The sequence below is a fragment of the Homo sapiens genome, chromosome 6, assembly GCF_000001405.40.
Source record: "Homo sapiens chromosome 6, GRCh38.p14 Primary Assembly".
Taxonomy (NCBI): domain Eukaryota; kingdom Metazoa; phylum Chordata; class Mammalia; order Primates; family Hominidae; genus Homo; species Homo sapiens.
The window spans coordinates 29,314,864-29,335,527 of record NC_000006.12 but is presented as its reverse complement, the minus strand read 5'-3'; the positions used below and the strand labels follow the sequence as shown (position 1 = coordinate 29,335,527).

At 35.8% G+C, this 20,664-nt stretch overlaps 1 long non-coding RNA gene and 1 pseudogene across 3 annotated transcripts in view; both read left to right on the top strand.

The window, feature by feature from the left end:
- Positions 1–1,084: 1,084 nt before the first annotated feature.
- LOC105375005 (uncharacterized) overlaps positions 1,085–20,664 on the top strand; it is a 50,372-nt gene continuing 30,792 nt past the window's right edge. Inside the window, exons 1-4 of one of the 3 annotated variants that reach the window (XR_001744074.1) lie at positions 1,085–1,227; positions 1,441–1,516; positions 4,067–4,202; positions 9,864–9,977. This is a non-coding gene — a long non-coding RNA (uncharacterized LOC105375005). Of the gene's footprint in view, positions 1,228–1,440; positions 1,517–4,066; positions 4,203–9,863; positions 9,978–20,664 lie in introns of those variants that run through there. The other 2 variants (XR_001744075.1, XR_926670.1) reach the window with 2 other exon arrangements.
- Positions 4,267–6,099, top strand: DDX6P1 (DEAD-box helicase 6 pseudogene 1; annotated as a pseudogene).

Sequence of the window (20,664 nt, the reverse complement as noted above, 5' to 3'; positions counted from 1 at the left end):
TGTTGTTAATTTAGCTGGTGTCCTATTGATCTGGTTGACAAGAACCAGCTTTCGGTTATTACTTTGCATGTATTTTTGAGTCTCAATTTCATTCAGTTCTCTAATGAATTTTGGTTATTTATTGTCTTCTAGCTTTGGGACTAGTTCTTGTTTTTCTAGTTCTCTAGGTGTGATGTTAGATTGTTAATTTGAGATCTTTCTAATTTTTTGATGTAGGTATTTAGTGATGTAAGCTTTCCTAACACTGCTTTAGCTGTATTCCAGAGATTTTAAAATATTGTGTCTCCATGCACACGTATGTTTATAGCAGCACTACTCACAATAGCAAAGACTTGGAACCAACCCAAATGTCCATCAGTGATAGACTGGATTAAGAAAATGTGGCATTTATATACAAAGGAATACTATGCAGCCATAAAAAATGATGAGTTCATGTCCTTTGTAGGGACATGGATGAAGCTGGAAACCATCATTCTCAGCAAACTATTGCAAGGACAAAAAAACCAAACACCACATGTTCTCACTCATAGGTGGGAATTGAACAATGAGAACACTTGGACACAGCAAGGGGAACATCACACACCGGGGCCTGTCGTGGGGTGGGCGGAGGAGGCAGGGATAGCATTAGGAGATATACCTAATGTAAATGACGAGTTAATGGGTGCAGCACACCAACATGGCACATGTATACATATGTAGCAAACTTGCACGTTGTGCACATGTACCCTAGAACTTAAAGTATAATAAAATATGTATATAAAAAAGTAAAAATAAAAAATAAAATATTGTATCTCTGTTTTTATTTATTTTAAATAATTTTCTAAATTTTTGCCTTAATTTTATTGTTTACCCAAAAGTTACTCAGAATAAAGTTATTTAATTTCCATGTAATTTTGTGGTTTTGAGAGAACTTACCGGTATTGATTTGTATTTTTATTCCACCATGGCCCAAAGTATAGTTTGTATGATTTTGAATTTTTTAACTTTATTGAGACTTGCCTGATGTCCAAGCATGTGGTCAATCTTAGCATATGTTCCATATGCAAATGAGAAGAATGTATATCCTATGGTTGCTGGGTGGAGTGTTCTGTAGATGTCTATTATGTCCAATTGGTCAAATGTCGAATTTAACTCCAGGATTTCTTTGTTAGTTTTCTGCCTTGATGATCTAACTCTGTCAATGGGATGTTGAAGTCACCCACTCCCATGGTGTGGCTAAGTATTTTTGTAGGTCTAGCAGTACTTGTTTTATGAATCTAGGTGCTCCAATTTTATTTGCATATATATTCAGGATAGTTAAGCCATGTGGTTGGATCAAACCCTTTATCATTGCATAGAGCCCTTCTTTATCCTTTTTTGACTACTGTTGTTTTAAAGTCTATTTTATCTGAAATAATAATTGTAACCCCTGCTCTTTTTTGTCTTCTGTTTGGGTGATAGATCTTTCTCCTACCCTTTACCTTGAGTCTATCAGTGTCATCACGTGTAAGATGGGTCTCTTGAAGACAGCAGATGGGTGAGTCTTGTTTTTTATCCAACTTGCCACTCTGTGCCTTTGAAGTAGGGTGTTAAGACCATTCACATTCAAGGTTAATATTAATATGTGAGATTTTGATCATATCGTAAAGTTGTTAGCTGGTTGCTTTGTAGTTTCTATTGTGTGGTTGCCATATAGGGTCTGTGGACTATGTAGTTAAGTGTGTTTTTGTAGTAGCAGTTATTATTCTTTCCATGTTTAGAAATCCATTATGGATCTCTTGTAAGGCTGGTTTAGTGGTAATGACTTCCCTTAGCTATTGCTTATCTGAAAAATATTTTAGTTCTTGTTAACTTATGAAGCTTGGTTTGGTGTTGTATGAAATTCTTGGTTGGAGTCTCTTCCTTAAAAAATGCTGAATGTAAGTCCCCCATAAGATTTCTGCTGAGAAGGCCCCCAATAAGTTTATAATGTTTCCTCTGTTTGCTGTTAGCCTGATGGGATTCCCTTTGTATGGGATCTAACCTTTTTTTCTAGCTGCCTTTAAAGTTTTTTCTTTAGCATTGACCTTGGGCATTCTGGTCACTATATACCTTGGTGATGTTTATTTTATATAGGATCTGGCAGGTCTTCTCTGGATTTATTATATCTGTATGTCTACTTCCCTAGCAAGATAAAGGAAAATTTCTCAAATTATTCCCTCAAATATGTTTTCCATGTTTTTTACTTTTTCTTTTTCTCTCTCATTAATGCCAGTCATTCACAGGTTTTGCCATTTTACACAACCCATGTGTCTTGGAGACTTTGTGCCAAGAATTTTAAGAATTTTTAAATTTCTTTTTTCTTTGTTTTTGTCTGACTGGGTAAGTTTGAAAGACCAATCTTCAAACTCTGAAATTCTTTCTTCTGTTTGGTCTAGTCTATTGGGAAAGCATTCAATTGTATTTTGAAATTCCTTAAGTGAGTTTTATAGTTTTCATTGCTCTGAATGATTTCTTTTTAAGATGTTTGCATCTTCTTTTATTTCCTGGATTGCTTTACAGGTTTCTTTGTACTGATTTTTAACCTTATTTTGGATCTCATTGAGTTTCCCTGTAATCCATACTTTGAATTCCTCCTCTGTCATCCTCCTGCCTCCATTTTGGTTAAGAACCATTGCTGGAAACCTAGAGTCAGCCTTTGATGATGTCATTCCATTCAGATTTTTAATGGTGGCAGAATTCTTGTGCTGGTTCCTTCTCATCTGGAGAGTGTTGTACTAGGTAGGGTCTTTGGGGTTGTTTCTATAGTCCTATGCACTTCTGTCAGCAGGTTTTGTGTTGGGCTGTGTGGTTTGACCTATGACTCAGGATATGGCATTTGCAGGTAAGAGTCAGCTGCCACACAAGTAGGTGGGAGGGGAGCTGACCTTTATTTACTGTGAGGTGCTCTCTGTTGTTTCAGGTGAAGGACTGGACAGTGGGGTGGGTGTCCAGTGTTCTGAGCTTCCTAATTTGTGAGGGTGGTGGGATATACCTGGGCAGAGCTGGAAACGTGGCTTTCCCACGAATATCTCAATGACAGGTGCAGGCACCAGCCCTGATGGGTGTGGCTAGGAGAAGCTCCTGATAAAATGTGCTGAGGTCTTCGTGAGCCCCCTCACTTCCTTGGTGAATCTTGACATGCTCTCTTAGAGAATTCACCTGAAGAGCTACTATTTACTTGCCACTTTCTTTCCTCTCTTTGAGAGTAGCATACTCTAGCTGCTTCCAGTCAGCCATCTTGAACCTCCATAACCATTTTGAAGATGCAAATTGTGGTAGCAGCTGCAGTCAAGAGATATTAAAAATAAGTTATGGCCGGGTGCGGTGGCTCACGCCTGTAATCCCAGCATGTTGGGAGGCTGAGGCAGACAGATCACAAGGTCAGGAGATAGAGACCATCCTGGCCAACATGGTGAAACACATCTCTACTAAAAATTCAAAAATTAGCTGGGTGTGGTGGTGCGCGGTCCTGTAGTCCCAGCTACTCAGGAGGCTGAGGCAGGAGAATCACTTGAACCCGGGAGGCAGAGGCTGCAGTGAGCTGAGATTGCACCACTGCACTCTAGGCTGGTGACAGAGTGAGACTCCATCTCAACAAAAAAAAGGGATTCATTTATTCATTATCTTTTCTTTAGAATTAAGTTTAAGTTTTAAATACAGTATAAGAAATAGCTTTGGAAATAACTAAGGGTTCTACCCTAATTAAAATACATATAATTTAACTGGGTATGATGGCACATGCCAGCAGTCCTAGCTCCTCAGTATGCTGAGGTGGGAGGATGAGCCCAGGAGCCTGAGGCTATAGTGAACCATGATCACACCTGTGAATCACCACGGCACTCCAGCCTGGGCAACATAGCAAGACTGTCTTTAAACAAACAAAACAAAATACACATCAGTATATGAGTGTTGACGAGTCACTTGGTAATGAGTCTCATATTTCTGCATTTTTCTTTTTCATCTGTGAGTTCTAGAAAGAAGTAGGAAAAACCACTATATCAAACAGCCTCTTTGGACTTTATTCTAAACCACGTAAAATCTCACCAGATTTCTTTGTGTGTCTCAGTAATTGATCTTAGAAATTATATCTGGAGGTGCAGGTTGAGGTATCCAAAGAGGAAAGAGTGGCAATATTTTGGGAGTTTCCAGTCAACAATAAAGGACCAAGAGTGTCCAGCACAGGAGTGGCCTCAGTGATTGAAGTAAGTGAATTCAGCTATAATTGAAGCTGGTAAGAGGGCCTTTTAAAAATTAAAAGTTGATACAGTACAAGAAAGTAAGTTACTGCTGCTTACCATTCAGAGACTTACGGGTGCTTGCCTGCATTATAATAAAAGAACTTAATTATTGAGCAAGACCTATATTTATCTCTTCACTTTGGACAGCCTAATAAACTATTATTACAGTTTCTCTATTGACTTTCAAACGTTTTGAAGTTTGAAAGACACCTTTGCAATTAACACAGCATGAGCACAACCAGAACAGAGAACGCTGTTATAATGGGTCTGTCCAGTCAAAATGGTCAGCTGAGGGGTCCCCTGAAACCCAGTGGTGGCCCTAGAGGAGAGGCCACACAGACACAGCAACAGACGAACCAGCTGAAAAACACCAACACAATAATAGCACTCAACCACAAGCGCAGAGTATGACCACCACTATTAAGCCTGGTGATAATTGGAAGAAGACTTTAAAACTCCTTCCAAAGGATCTAAGAATCAAAATGTTGGATGTGACCTCTACAAGAGGATATTAATTTGAAGATTACTGTTTGAAACGGCAGTTACTGATGAGAATTTTTGAAATGGGATGGAAAAAGCCATCTCCTTTCCAAGAAGAGAGCATTCCCATTGCTTTATCTGGTAGGGATATCTTAGCTAGAGCAAAAAATGGAACAGGCAAGAGCAGTGCCCATGACATTCCCCTACTTAAAAGGCTAGACCTGAAGAAGGACACTATACAAACAATAGTGATTGTTCCCACAGGAGGACCTGCTCTACAGGTCAGTCAAATTTGCATCCAGGTCAGCAAACACATGGGAGGAGTCAAAGTGGTGATGACCACAGGAGGAACCAATTCAGGAGATGACGTACTGAGGCTGGATGATACAGTGCACATGGTGATTGCTGCCCCTGGGAGAATCCTGAATCTTATTAAGAAAGGAGTAGCAAAGGTCAGTCATGTCCAGGTGATAGTATTGGATGAGGCAGATAAGTTTCTGTCCCAGGATTTTGGGCAGTTAATGGAAGATATTATTCTCATGCTACCTGAAGACAGGCAGATTTTACTACATTCTGCTACTTTCCCTCTTAGTATACAGAAGTTCATGAATTCCCATTTGCAGAAACCCTGAGACTAACCTGATGGAAAAACTAACTCTGAAGGACATAACCCAGTACTACGCATATGTAACTGAGCACCAAAAAGTACACGGCCTCACCACACTTTTCTCCAGGCTTCAGCTAAACCAGATGATCATTTTCTTTAACTGCTCTCAGCGAGTTGAATGGCCAGCCAAAATTTCTCAACTGGGTTATTTTTGTTTCTACATTCATGCTAAAATGAGGCAGGAACATCAAAATTGTGTATTTTATTATTTCTGAAATGGCTTATTCTCATTTGCACTGATCTGTTTACTTGAGGTATTGATATACAAGCTGTGAATGTGGTAATAAACTTTGACTTTTCAAAGCTAGAAGAGACCTATCTCCGTCATATTGGAAGACCAGGTCACTTTGGCCATTTTGGCTTAGCCATCAACTTGATCACATATGGCGATCACTTCAACCTGAAAGGTATTGAGGAGCAGCTGGGAAAAGAAATAAAACCTATTCCAAGCAACATTGACAAGAGCCTGCATGTGGCAGAATTCCACAGCAAGGCTGTAGAAAATGAGAAGCCTTAATAAGCACTCTTTGACAAACTGTGGAAGCCTTGTTTGGATCTATGACATACCATTTTTTAGAGAGGAGTGCTCTTCTCTTTGTGAGTTTTTCATCTTTTATTTCAGAACTATGAAGACTTAAAAGAGTTCAGAATTTTTTTTTTCCTTTTTTAACTGGTGAAGAGAAAAAAGCTGAAAAGAAGGAATATTCCTTTTTTTTTGTTCCATCTGTTTGCACTGTATGCTAAGTGAACATTAGTTGCACTAACTGCTGGTTTTAAAAAAATGTTTTCTGGGGAAAGGGGACAGGAAAGGAAAAGAAAGAAGGGGAGAAACCCTAAAAAGAGAAGAATCTTAATGAACACAAAAGCTTGTCTATTATTTCAAAATTCTCCAACATCTGACTCTCGAGGACATTTCAACTTCTCCCTAGTCATCCATTTTTTTTTTAAGCCTGAGGAGCTTATTACTCATTTGTGTGAAGTGCTGTATGCTCTGAGTTATTCAGAATATCATCTTTTAGACACAGACCAAAGAATCAACAGTAGTACTCTTTCTTTCCTTTATTCTTTAAAAAATTTTTGTCTTTTAATTTTGGTTTTAGGGTGAAGTCTCTGTTTTCTTTCTACCCAATACTGAAGCCCAGAGCTGGTAGATGAAACTTATTAGTCAGTTAAATACCATTTTCTTTTTCTTTATATTGGAGGAGTTGATATGCAGCTGCAGTTCATCCACACTGTAAACACATGTATTAAAAAAATCCCAACAGGGCATGGTGGCTCACGCCTGTAATCCCAGCACTTTGGGAGGCCGAGGCAGATAGATTATCTGAGGTCAGGATCTTGAGACCAGCCTGACCAACACAGTGAAACCCTGTCTTTACTAAGAATACAAAAAAATTAGCCAGGCGTGGTGGCAGGTGCCTGTAATCCCAGCTACTTGGGAGGCTGGGGCAAGAGAATTGCTTGAACCTGGGAGGCGGAAATTGCGGTGAACTGAGATCGTGCCATTGCACTCCAGCCTGGGCAACAGAGCAAGACTCCGTCTCAAAATAATAATAATTCCAAGTAAAAATTTATTCTGGTCTGAGTAGATAAAACATCAATGCTCCCAAAGGAAAAGCAGTCTATCATTGGAGGAGCCTTATGACAAGCCTTTGTGCTCTATAGCAAACACTAAAGACTGGTTTACATACGTCTCCAGTAACAATATGGCACTTGACTTGTAGACATGTCAGAACCTTGACCCTATTTCTTTTGTGGCAGAGTGTGTTGCGTTGAAAATTGAGTGTGTATACTTTTATCAACCTTGTAAATAAGTGTATATGTATATATACATATATATGATAAAGGTTGATGGGATTAAGGGGATTAGAGTGATTATGGGAGCAGCTAAAGATGAAGGGGCTCAGTTTACTCAGCACTAAATTCTAGAAAGCACTTTGGCCTCTTGCTGTAGAGAGCAGGTTTCTATGGTACCCTTGGTTAGGAAAGGGACACAGAAATCTGGGATGTCCTGTTTGCTCCCACGCTGTCTCATCTAGTACCCCTGGAGGAGGCTTACCAGAGAGAGCAACGAAGCGTCAAAAATTGATAATTCAAGATTTTTTTTTTTTGAGAAGCTCTTTTATTTTGCTTCTTCACCCTTTCTAAAAGTTTAAGGAATTTTTCAAGCTCTCCAAAAGAGGGCAAAGATTAATCTACCATGCATCTACCTTGCAGTGTGGGGATTCTGTTGAGTGGTAGTATTGTTGAGCAGTACATGCATAAAGCACAGATTCGCATTTCATAGTATTAGCCAGTACCAGCTTTGGTGATGTTAGGAGTTCTGGAGCTTAATTTTCTATGGATCATCTGTAGTGTGTAAATGTATTGCCTTCTGCCCACCTTGATACATAAACTTTTGCAGGAATGGACAACCCCTGAGAACTGTTTAACTTTCATACCACACAAAGCTGCTTGCCATTCTCTTGTGTTATGACAATAATTGTTATCTGTCATTTTGTACTGTAAATTCCTGGCAAATGCTTTACAGTCAATAATGTTGCTTTAAATTGTTGCCCTCCCAACATGCTTGATGTTTGGCCTAATCTCCAGGCCAAAAGACTGAGATGAATCAAAACCAGTGAACTTTTTTTTAATGTTTTTGAATTCCCTTTTAACCCAGTGTACTAGGTCAATCAGAAGGCATCTGGGAGGAGAAAAAAAAGCAAAAAATAATTTTTAAAAAATTGATTCCCATATTGCATTGATTTTTAAAAACCTAAAATATACACGTTTGTATTTAACTCATATGGACAAAGGGATTAATTATTTGAAGTTGCTTTTTTGACTCTGCCCACTTCTATTTTTTTTCCCAAGACAGAGTCTCACTGTGTCACCCAGGCTGGAATGCAATGGCATGATCTTGGCTCAGTGCAACCTCCGCCTCCCGGGTTCAAGAGATTCTCCCTGTCTCAGTCTCCCAAGTAGCTGGGATTACAGGTGCCCACCTGTAATACACCAGGTGTATGTGACTCACCCACAATTCCTTGGAGATCAAAATCCTACAGATGCCTCCTGATCAGACACAGCCCTAACTCTTCAACAACTGTGGCAAGAGCTGCACAGTACAAACCCAAAAAAGAGCAATCTCATTTATTTGGAATCCAAGTCACGTATGTTCTGTCCAGTCAATGTTGGTTACTAAATACAAACCTTAATTCAGGAAGTAACCTTTTTTTTTTTTTGCATGAAGCGCTGGGAGAGGGAATTTAAACGGTATCAACTTTTGACCAAAAAGTCTTGTTCTTGTACTGACGCAGCATTCTTTCTCCTACACCTCCTGCAAGAGGGATCATTAATATAGAAGAAATGCAAGGAAAGAGTGTAAATGTAATTCTGTATCTCGCTAAAAAACATGTGAGTGACCAATCAAAAGTTCAGTCTTCTTTTCCAGTCTTACACTGCTCTGCCTGGTGCTGAGTTCCTGTGGGTCCCTCTTAAAGTACAGACTTAAAATTGGAAGTATTGCTGAAGTATAACATCTAATGACGAGTGGCACTTAAACTATCTGGGACACCACTATTGGACACAGTGTTACAGAGGCAGCTGTCCAGCTTGTTGCTTGGTTCTTGAATATAAATCATGAAATGGAAATATGCTCTAAGGACTTGGTCAAAGCCTGGTCTTTTTTTTTGTCCCTCATATTAAGGAGGATTGTTACTACTGGAAAGTGTTTTCAGATTATTTCCAATATTGGAATGTATTTTTTAAAGTAATGGTAATATTTTTTCCAGTGGTTCATTTGGATGATAACTAGTTCCTATTTTTAATATTAAAACTATATTCAACTCATGGTTTAGCCTTTGGTTGCATCGTTGTGTAATGGGTTATGGACTGTCACACACCTTCCCACCTCTGGGCCTGTGTGTTTTCTCTCCCCGTATGTTCTGACGGGATGGAAACTTTTTTGTCTTTCCCTTAGGAAAGGAATAAAGTTATTCTAAAATGATCTTTTACTGAAGTAAGGGAGAGGGAAACCTAAATATACCTCTAAATTATTTCAAGTTGGTCCCAGTATCATAAGATGGGTTGGCCTGAAATGGTAAGAGGGTGGGGTTGGTTATCAGTATTTGTTTTCAGAATGAGGCGGGAGTGTCTTTCGTTTGCCACGTGCTTTGTGCTTGACACCTTCATGCTTGATTAGAACAAGACAACTCAGCATAAAGCCTTGAGTGTAAATTGTTAAGAGTCAAAATATCTCATTCTGATAACTTAGTTTAACTGTTTTCTTTTTAATAGGGATGGGAGAAACCGTACTTTGCCCCCAAAGGGAGAGTGTCTGCACTAAAAATGTAGAAACTCTTTGGAAGCTCATAACCTTATCAGACACTGCCTTTACCACACTCCTGACCTTCTAGATTAGTAACAAAAGAGATGAAATAAGTTCTTGGGAATTAAGCTATATTATCTTAATTTGAGAATTTTTTTCAATGTTCTAGGTATCTTTAAATGTGTTATTGTGGAATTATTTTCTTGCCAAATACCTTCGTCAAGCAAAAATTACTGGTCTCATGAGAGCTGAAGTAACTCAGCTCTTTGGCGAACTTCAGTGGACTTTGGTGAGCTCATAGCTCTACTTTACGTCTTTAAAAACAGTTTTTTTTAAAACTCTCAAATCTACTCTCAGATACTTTTAAACATATTGTTTCCTTAGAAGATTCAGGACTTTTTTTATTTTACGTCTTTCATACTGGAAGTCTGGACTATATGATAAAAATATTTCAATTTCGTACTCTTCTAACACCTGGAATTTGGAGCCCTTAAAATTTTCATATAGAAGGGAAATAGTTTAGTAAGTTATGGGGTTTTGTCATCCTTAGCATTGGTTCTCAAATTTTAGCAGACATTTGAGTTGCCTGAAGATCTTGTTAAAACATAAGGACCTAAGTCTAAGCCTCAAACTCATGAATTCTGATTCAGTAGGTCTGGAATGGCACTCATGAATTTGAATGCCTAACAAGCACCCAGGTACTGCTGCTGCTAGTCCAAGAGCCAAACTTGGAGAATCAATGCACTCTAAATCACATATTTCCAAAAAAGAAACAGGAACATTTAACCCTTTAAAAATTAATGGATCTCTAATGCCAGACCTCCTGGAAAACTAGAAGTCAGTACTTAACATTTTTTTATGCTACAAATTTGAGCCTTTGTGTCAAAATTAGATTTAGAACAGCTATTTTGGTCATAAATTATGATCTCTAACAATCAGAAATATCTACTGAAATATTCAAAAACAAATCTAGCAACAATATCTGCAAATCTCATATGATAGCTAAATCCATTAATATGTATATTAAAATTTTTGCAACAACTTTGTAAGTACTTAGAAATAAAGGTAAGTCCATAATGTTGTTTTATATTTTGGAGTTGTCTCACCATCTTGTATACACATTTTAGTATTTTTAATAATAATATAATTGTTACAAAAATTCCTCTGAAGCTATGTGGATATACATTATTTTTTTAAAGGCTACATAGCATTCTGCTCAGATAACAATTCACAATTTGCAGAAAAATTTTCTTTATTTATTTAACAAATATTTATTGATTGCCTATTGTATACCAGTCACTTTTCCAGTTTTTCATTATTATAAGCAGCATTAGTCAATGTTTTCTGTAATCATTATCACATTCAACAAACCAGGTTAAATAGCTCTATTAATATTTTTTCTTAATTATGAATAACATAACAACTAAGTGATAGCATAAGCGTATTTATAAATATTGCATTTTCTGCAGTTGGTTTTTTCCTTAAAATTAAAGAATATAAGATTATTCAGTTTAAGTTTATTTCTAAAACTGTATGCATTTAAATATTGATAAATTCCTCTCTAAAATTATTGTAAAATATTATATTGCTTCCAGTATTGTTCTCCCTCAGTCTAGCCAACATGAGGAATTTATCATTTGTTATTTTTTATACTTAATAATAGAAGGCATACTGTATCATATATAAGTACATAACAACTACAGTCAGATTGCTTGGGTTTAATTCTAGTGCTACCATTTATCCTTTGTGAGGTGACTTTAGTCGCTTAATCTTTCTGCATCTGTAAAATGAGCATATTGAATAAATAATTCTGTAAAGTGCTTAGCAGAGTGACTCAAAAATGGACACTTAATGGTGCTACATATTATGTCCATTAATGTTTTGTTTAAAATTTTATTACAAAGAAATCATAGACAAGACAAACAAATGGGAACACATCCTATGCTCATGGATGGGTAGAATCAATATTTTGAAAATGACCATACTGCCAAAAGCAATCTACAGATTCAATGCAATTCCCATCAAAATACCCCCACCATTCTTCACAGAATTAGAAAAACAATTTTAAAATTGATATGGAACCTAAAAAGAGCCTGCATATTCAAAGCAAGACTCAGCAAACAGAACAAATCTGGAGGCATCACATTATCCAACTTCAAACTATACTGTAAGGCCATAGTCACCAAAACAGCACAGTACTGGTCTAAAAATAGGCACATAGACTAATGGAACAGAATAAATAACCCAAAAATAAAACCAAATACTTAACAGCCAACTGATCTTTGACAAAGCAAAGAAAAACAGGAAGTGGGGAAAGGACACCCTGTTCAACAAATGGTGCTGGGATAATTGGCAAGCCACATATAGGAGAATGAAACTGGATCATCATCTCTCACCTTATACAAAAATCAACTGAAAATGAGTCAAATACTTAAATCTAAGACCTGAAACCATAAAAACTCATGACATCAGAAAAACCCTTCTAGATATTGGCTTAGGCAACGATTTCATGACCAAGAACCCAAAAGCAAATGCAACAAAAACAAGGATAAATAGATAGGACTAAAAAGCTTCTGCACAGCAAATGAAATAATCAGCAGAGTTAACAGACAACTTACAGAGTGGGAGAAAATATTCACAATCTATACATCTGACAAAGGACTAATATCCAGAATCTACGAAGAACCCAAACAAATCAGCAAGAAGAAAACAAAGAATCCTATCAAAAATTGGGCTAAGGACAGGAATAGACAACTCTCAAAAGAAGATATACAAATGGCCGACAAGCATATGGAAAAATGCTCAACATCACTAATGATCAGGGAAATGTAAATCAAAACCACAGTGTGATACCACGTTACTCTTGCAAGAATGGCCATAATCAAAAATTCAAAAAATAATAGATGTTGGCGTGGATGTGGTGAAAAGGGAACACTTTTACACTGTTGGTGGGAATGTAAACTAGTATAACCATTATGGAAAACAATGTGGAGATTCCTTAAAGAACTAAAGGTAGAACTACCAGTTGATCCAGCAATCCCACTACTAGGTATCTATCCAGAGGAAAAGAAGTCATTATATGAAAAAGATTCCTTGCACACACATGTTTATAGCAGCACAATTTGCAACTGCAAAAATATGTAACCAGTCCAAATGCCCATCAATCAATGAGTGGATAAAGAACATATGGGAGATGTATACGTATACACCATGGAGTACTATTCAGCCATTAAAAGGAACAAAATAATGGCATTCACAGCAACTGAGATGGAATTGGAGACCATTATTCTAAGTGCAGTAACTCAGGAATGGAAAACCAAACATCACATGTTCTCATTCATAAGTGGGAGCTAAGCTATGAGGATGCAAAGGCCTAAGAATGACAGAATGGATTTTGAGGACTCAGGGGAAAGGGTGGGAGCAGGGTGAGGGATAAAAGACTACATATTGGGTACAGTGTACACTGCTTGGGTGATGAGTTTACCAAAATCTCAAAAATCACCACTAAAGACCTTATTCATGTAACCAAACACCATCTGTTCCCCAAAAACCTATTGAAATAAAAAATAAATTAAAAAAATTGTTTAATAGAAGGGGATTTAATATCTTTAAGTAGCACATCAACTAATAAATGTGAAAGAGATGGTAGACTTAGAAAATCACCATTTTGCTACAATTATAATAAAAATTATAAGCAAAAATTTAAGCAAAAATTATCAGTGAATACTTAAATGAGTAGGTCAAAGTTTGGGGAATAAAGAATATTTATGTATTGTCAAAGTACCTCTCCACAAATTACTTATAAATTACTAAGGGGAAAATAGTAAATTTATAATGGAGAAACCTGGCAGAACCATCTTAGCCAACTGATTATAGCTAATATCACCAGTAATGGGACAGATCAACATGTGCCTTCCGATGTAATGTGCTGAGAAGACAATCTCATGTCTATTTTCCTATATGACATTTATGACCTAGATCTAATCAGAGGAAATATCAGACAGACCCAAACTGAGTGACATTCTACAAAATAACAGGAACTCCAAGCTGCCAACGTTATAAGAGAAAAGACTGAGGAGCTAATCCAGATTAAAAGACCCTCAAAGGACATGACCACTAAGTGAAATTTTTATTCCTGAGTTGAATTTTAGACTAGGAAATAAAATCAATATAGGATATCATTTGGATAATGGATTAAATTTGAATATTGACTCTGGATGACATAATATTATTGTATGAATGGTATTTTTTTATTATTGGTCATTTTACTAGTTATGCAAGAGAATGTCTGTTCTTAGGAAATACACATTGTTCAAAAGGTTAAAAAAATGTTTATTAAAAGAGTAAATGATAAAGCAACTAGGGCAAAAATGTTAATAATTTGTGAATCTGGGTAAAGGATATATGAGTATTATTTGTTCTATTCTGATAATCTCTATGTAACCTTGAAATTATGTCAAAATAAAATGTTTAAAAATAAATAAATAAATAGATAGATAAAATTTTATTACACAAAATTGTCCAGGAAATAGGGAAGAAGAAACACTTCCAATTTGTCTTATGAGGCCAGTATCAACTTGATAACAAAATTAAACGAAGACATTATACACACACACACACAGACATACACACAGACGAAAAATAACTTTAACCATTCCAATAGATACAGCAAAACATTTGAAAAAATTTAACATTTACTAAAGATAAAATCGCTGAATTACTGAGCATACTCAGATGAAAAGGGAATGTTTGATCTGAAGAAAAGACTCTACATAAAAGCTACAGTATATATCATACTTGATGAAATACTTTAAATTTCCACTATAGGTTAAGAAATAAGATAAGAATGACTACTGTCAATATTTCTTCTCAGTAGCCCAATAGAGCCAGGAAAATGACAAAGAAGGTATAAAATTTGAAAATAGATGATGTGGTTGGGTACATAAAGATCTGGAAAGGAAATATACCTAAACTATTAGAATTAAATAGTAAACTAAATAAAATACAAAGGCCATAAAATTTTAGTAGCATCAAAAGCCTCCCAATATTTAGGAACAAATTTAATTAAATATTGGCAAAATCTCTACATTGAAAACTACAAACGATTACTAAAAAAATTTTAAATAGACAAATAAATCAAGGAATATTACATTTTTATAAAGTGGAAGTTTCAATATTGCTAAGAAGTCAATTCTTCCCAAATTTATGTTTAAATTCATTGTGATTCTCAGTAAAATGCAAGCAGGTTTTTGGCTTTATGGAAATTCACAAAATGATTCTATTAATATCTAAATGCATGCAACCAAAAGCCACAATGACATGAAGAAAAACCAAGTTGGAGAAGTCACACCACTGGATATCAAAACTTACAAAGCTATGATAACTAACTAGAACTATGGCATAGAATCAAGTATCAAGAATCACATCACATATAAACATCACCAAATTTATGACAAATATGCTAAACTGATTTTAATGATAATTTTAGCCATAAATACTTACATTAAAAAAGAAAAAAATAAATGTTAACTAGCTAAGTCTCTAATGTGAAAAATTACAAATACAAATGGAAAAATTTCAAAATAAGTGGAAGAAATGATACAGTGTTACGATAAGAGCAAGAGTTATTGAAATTAAGAACAATAGAGGGAAAGATATTAAATGTCAAATTTCTGGCAAAATCTTTTAAGAATAATAGCTGATAATGCACAAATTAATAATATTAGGGATTGAAAGGAAATGTAACTTCAGGTAACCACAAAAATAAGATAAGATAAAAGAATAAATTATGAAACGTTATGCCAATAGGTTTGAAAAAATAGTGAATATAATTTAGTAATGATGAAGAACAATTTAAAAAATATACTGGCTTCCTTGCTATTAATTATACATTCTAAGAATGCTCCTATCTCTGGACTTTGCATTGGTTTCTCTGCTTGGAATGTTTTTCCTCAGATACTCAATTAGCTAACTGTATTTAAGCTTTATTTTTACATGTGGTGCTATTAGTGAAAACTTTACAATATGAAATAGTTTGTTTCCTGCACTATGTCACTTGCCTTGCTTTCTTTAGCTCTGTAATGTGTGTTGCCATCTAACCCGGTTCATGCTTACATGTTTATTTGTTAGTGGTTTCTCTACCACTATAGATTGCACTTCATGAATATGAAAACTTTGTCTAATTCATCACTACTGGATTTTCAGTTGGAGTTCCAATAAATTCACATGAATAAATGATGAATAAAAGAATTAAAACTGTATGATGGTCTTAATAGACATAGGAAAAAGAAACATTGCATACAAGTCAGCATATATTTATGATGAAAAGTTTAGCAGACCTGAAATAAGAAGGGACTTTGTCAATTTAATAAAGGCTCCTGGGGTAGATCAGTACTTTAGTGGGCTCAAGGAACCATGCCCCCAGTACTCACGTTTGTTTCACAATGACTTACTCCACAGTTGGCCATGTGATAAGTTTGACCAATGTGACAGATCTAAGCAGAGGCTTGATAAATGGTTGTACCTGTGGCTTATATTCTTCAAACACCGGTTCTTCAGATTATCCTTGGAACCTAGCCATCATTTTGTGAGGAGCCCAACCTAGCCATGTAGAAAGGTCATATGGAGAACCATATGGAGGACCAGCCAACAGCTCTAGCTAGACTTCTAGGTAAAACCTAATACTAACTTTATTGGAACAGTGGCAAGCTGTCTTTACCAAGCTCTGCTAAAGTAAATAAGTTAAATAGTTATTGTTTGAAGTCACTGTTTTGGGATGTCTCCTTATACAAAAATAGATAAATGAAACAGTTGTCCATCTAAAACCTAGGTCAAAACATGTACTCAGTGAGAACAAGACATGACTGCCACTTGTTATCACTTTAATTCCACACTGTTTTGATTGTTTTAGCTGGTGCATTAAGATAAAGAAAATTCATAGGAACTAGAATGGAAGTTTAAAAACTTTCCTTAATTATAGGAGCTATATTTCCCTACTTAAAAAAATCCCTGGCCGGGCGCGGTGGCTCATGCCTGTAATCCCAGCACTTTGGGAGGCCGAGGCGGGTGGATTACGAGGTCAGGAGATCGAGACCATCCTGGCTAACACAGTGAAACCTCGTCTCTACTAAAAATACAAAAAAATTAGCCGGGCGTGGTGGCAGGCGCCTGTGGTCCCAGCTACTCCGGAGGCTGAGGCAGGAGAATGGCGTGAACCCGGGACGTGGAGCTTGCAGTGAGCTGAGATCGCGCCACTGCACTCCAGCCTGGGCCACAGAGCGAGACTCCGTCTCAAGAAAAAAAAAAAAATCCCTAAGAATCTGCAGATAAAACATTAGAAAAATGAGATAATTTAGCAAATCCCTTGGCCCAGGTATCAAATTGGTATATTTCTATATACCAGCAACAAAGAGTAAAATGTAGTTTGGAAAACATAATTTTGATAACTACCAAAGTAATAATGTCCAGATGTAAATCTAATAGAACATAGAAAAGCTTTACACAGAATATTATAAAACTTTACTGAAATACATTAGAGAAGATCTAAATAAACATGGATATTTACCTTGATAATGGTTGAGGAGTTATCTTTAGTAACTTTATTTTTTTGCTAACATATAGAGTCAATGAAATTTTAATTAAAAGATACTTTTAATTTATAAAAAAATTTATTGCACCAATTCTCACATTTATGCAAAGAGGGAAGAGTGCAAGATAACAAAAAAAAGTAAAAAAAACAGGAATAAAATTCAGAGATTTGTTCTAATAGCAAGATTTACAATGTATAGGAAATAAGACAGTACAGTGTTAGCACAGGAACAGACAGGTAGATGAGTGGACAAAAAGAGAGGACACCAAAGAGATCTGTGTGTGTATGTATATATATATATATACATACACACACACACACACATTGCAAGTCAGTAAATGGCACTGGGGCAATTGGTTTTCCACATTAAGAAAAGAAAGATAGATTGAAATATTTCTCACTATGAGTGTATCTAAAAATGAGTTTCAGGTGGATTAAAGATTGAAATATTAAAGTCAAAACTTTAAAACTTTTTAAAGTACCTATAAAGTGATTATCTTTATGTCCTTGGGAGTGGAAAACATTCCTTAACAAAAGAACTAAAAAAGACTTTAGCATAGAGAGAAAGACTTATTTTAATAATTCTGCAATCTAAAATTAGAGCATCTTCACATCAAAGGAAACCACAGAATGAATGAAAAATCAGGCTACAGAAGGGAAAGGGATATCTGCCACTTCTATTAAGTGGCACAGTTTAGTATTCTAAAGAGACACATAATTCCCTTAAAAATAAGAAAAAGAAAATGGCCAAAATGAAAATGAGCAAAAGTCTGCAAACAAATCCAAATGCCTAGTAAACACACAAACAAAAATGTCTAATAAGATAGAAAAAGCAAATTAAAAGTAGAGTGTGCTGTATCTGTCAGTATCCTTAGAGTAGTAACTCGTTGGATAAGTATGTAAAGCTCTGAGAGCTCATATACAAGGTTGGTAAGGGTGTAAATTGCTAAACCTACTTTGAAGAATGATTTCACATTATATCAGGAAGCTTTAGATGTCAAAGGCAAAAACATAATTTTTCAGAAATGTATAGTGGATACCTTTTAGAAACAGGGAAGTAGGAAAAGGAGCCTAGAGCTGCGCATAAAGGGAAATAAAATACGCTCATAAAGAATTATGCCTTTAAAAGTTATTGGACTCAAATCTTATGAACTATTAATGGTTATTGCTTTAACCATTATTATGAAGTATGAATTTCAGTTGCATTGTTTTTTGTAATCTTCCTTCTGAGGGTAAAAATCAAACAGAAAGAGTTATAAACGTAGGGATTCTGTTTATAATGCTATGACTTTTGGTCTCAAGTTGTGTCATGTGTCTTTAGGGAAAGGCTGGCATTCCTTCCCTTTCCTTTCTTATTCTTTCATTTTCTTTTCTTTCATTTATTTATTTCTTTCCTTTTCTTTCCATCCCATTCCTTTCCTTTTATTTTCCTATCTCTCTCTGTAAACATGTAAGAATGCATGCATATTCACTGCACTACTCTGGTAGTGTCTTACTGATATATTCCTGTCCATTTATAAATCAAAATAGAAAGCTGCTATAATTTAACAACATGGACAGCATTGAAAGGTATGGATAATAGGACAATTTTAACTCATGTGTTGATGTGATAATATATCTCATAGAACGTCAACTCAAGAAAGATATAAGACATGGCATAATGTGTTATGTGCATATTTGTGTCCCTGTTAGTATTGAAAAGTTATCATATTAAAAATGAACAAAGGGAAAAAGTGCATGAGGTGCCGGGAGTCTAGGAGAAACCAGGAATAAGCTTCCAGGTGTTTTCTTCCAGTGAGTTACATTGATGTGCTTAATTGTGCCATCAATGGTACGATAACACATGCAGAATAATGCCAACCAGGAAGTTCACTCAAGTTTGATGTAGAAGGTTTTTATGGGGGATCAGTCAGGTAGGCATACGGCACCTGTGTAACTGACCTCAGCTACTCAGACCCCAGCCCACCAGAGCAAAAATAGGCACCATAAATCACCTTGTTAGCATAATCTATCTGATCAAATTTATATTGTGACCCAATAAAACAAATTATTTTAAAAAAAACATTTTATTAGGCAGGATATTCAAAGAACTTAGAGCTCCTCTTCCAGGAGCCTGCCAAGGGCCAGTCCTGAATATAGGCCTTTCTTGGGAATATACAGGGTTCTGCAACACAGACATGAAAAGTTAACCCTTTTCTGCATAATGGTTGACTGATATATTTTGATATATCAGATGCGTTAGGTCTTTTGCAACTGAAAAAAAGAGAAGCAAAACTATATTCATAAAATAATATCGAATTTTTCCTTAAAATACCATAGTGGTAAAGAATGAAAACTTGGGGGCCAAACTGCCTTGAGTTTGAGTCCCAGGTTAGCTAGTAGTTTGCTAGTGACTGTAGATAAGTTGATTAGTGACCTGTGCCTTAATTTCCTTATCTTTAAAATAGGAATATCAATATTATTTGCCTCACAAGATTTATTGTAAATGTTGAACACAATAATACCTTTGAAGCCTAGAATAATCCTTGGCATAAGTAGTACTTATTACATGTCATTATTATTATTATAGTTTTATTATACGCTAGCACAGGCATAAGAAAGCAGATCGAGAGATATGAGCAAAAAGTGTTCCAAAAAGTTAAAAGCGAAAAAACAAAAATAAAAAAACACCTCAAGCTATTTAGGCTATTTTATAAAGAGAGAAGTGTTATGATTTTGTTAAGATAGTAACATTAGGGAAACAAGGTGAGGGATAAAAAGAGAAGCCTCTGTATTGTTTTTACAAATTTTTTACAGGTTTAAAATTTCTCCAAAGTTTAAAAGTGAGGTAACATTGTATTCTATTTGAGTAGTAAGTATTAGAAAGCAGGGTAGTGCCAAGAATTGGGACAGGTGAGGAAATGACAGGAACACGTCTGCCCCGCTGGTAGGAGTGTAGCCTCATGGAAGCATTCTGGAGCACATTCTGGGTATAAAAATTCAAATTAAGTCTCTCATATATTGGACCTGAGCAATTTTGCTTCCAGGTATATATCCTAAATAAATCCTTACACAGGTCCATAACAACAGTTGTTTGGCATAATTTATGGTAATGGGGAATTAGAAGCAACCCAGATGTCCATCAACGGGAGAGCAGATTTGCGAAGGTTGAGGATGTACAACATCAAAAAAATGCAGTTTTTAGAAAAAGTGGGCTAGATGTAGACATTGTAACGTGATAGCTCTTAAAAGTAGTGTGCTGAGTGAAAAAAAGTAAGAAACTGAATAAGATTATAATGTAATACTATTTTATAGAATAAAATATCCTAAAACAACAATACTAATAGAAATTAAGAGCCCATAAAATGTTACACATGAAACTTATAATAATTGTTTTCCTTAG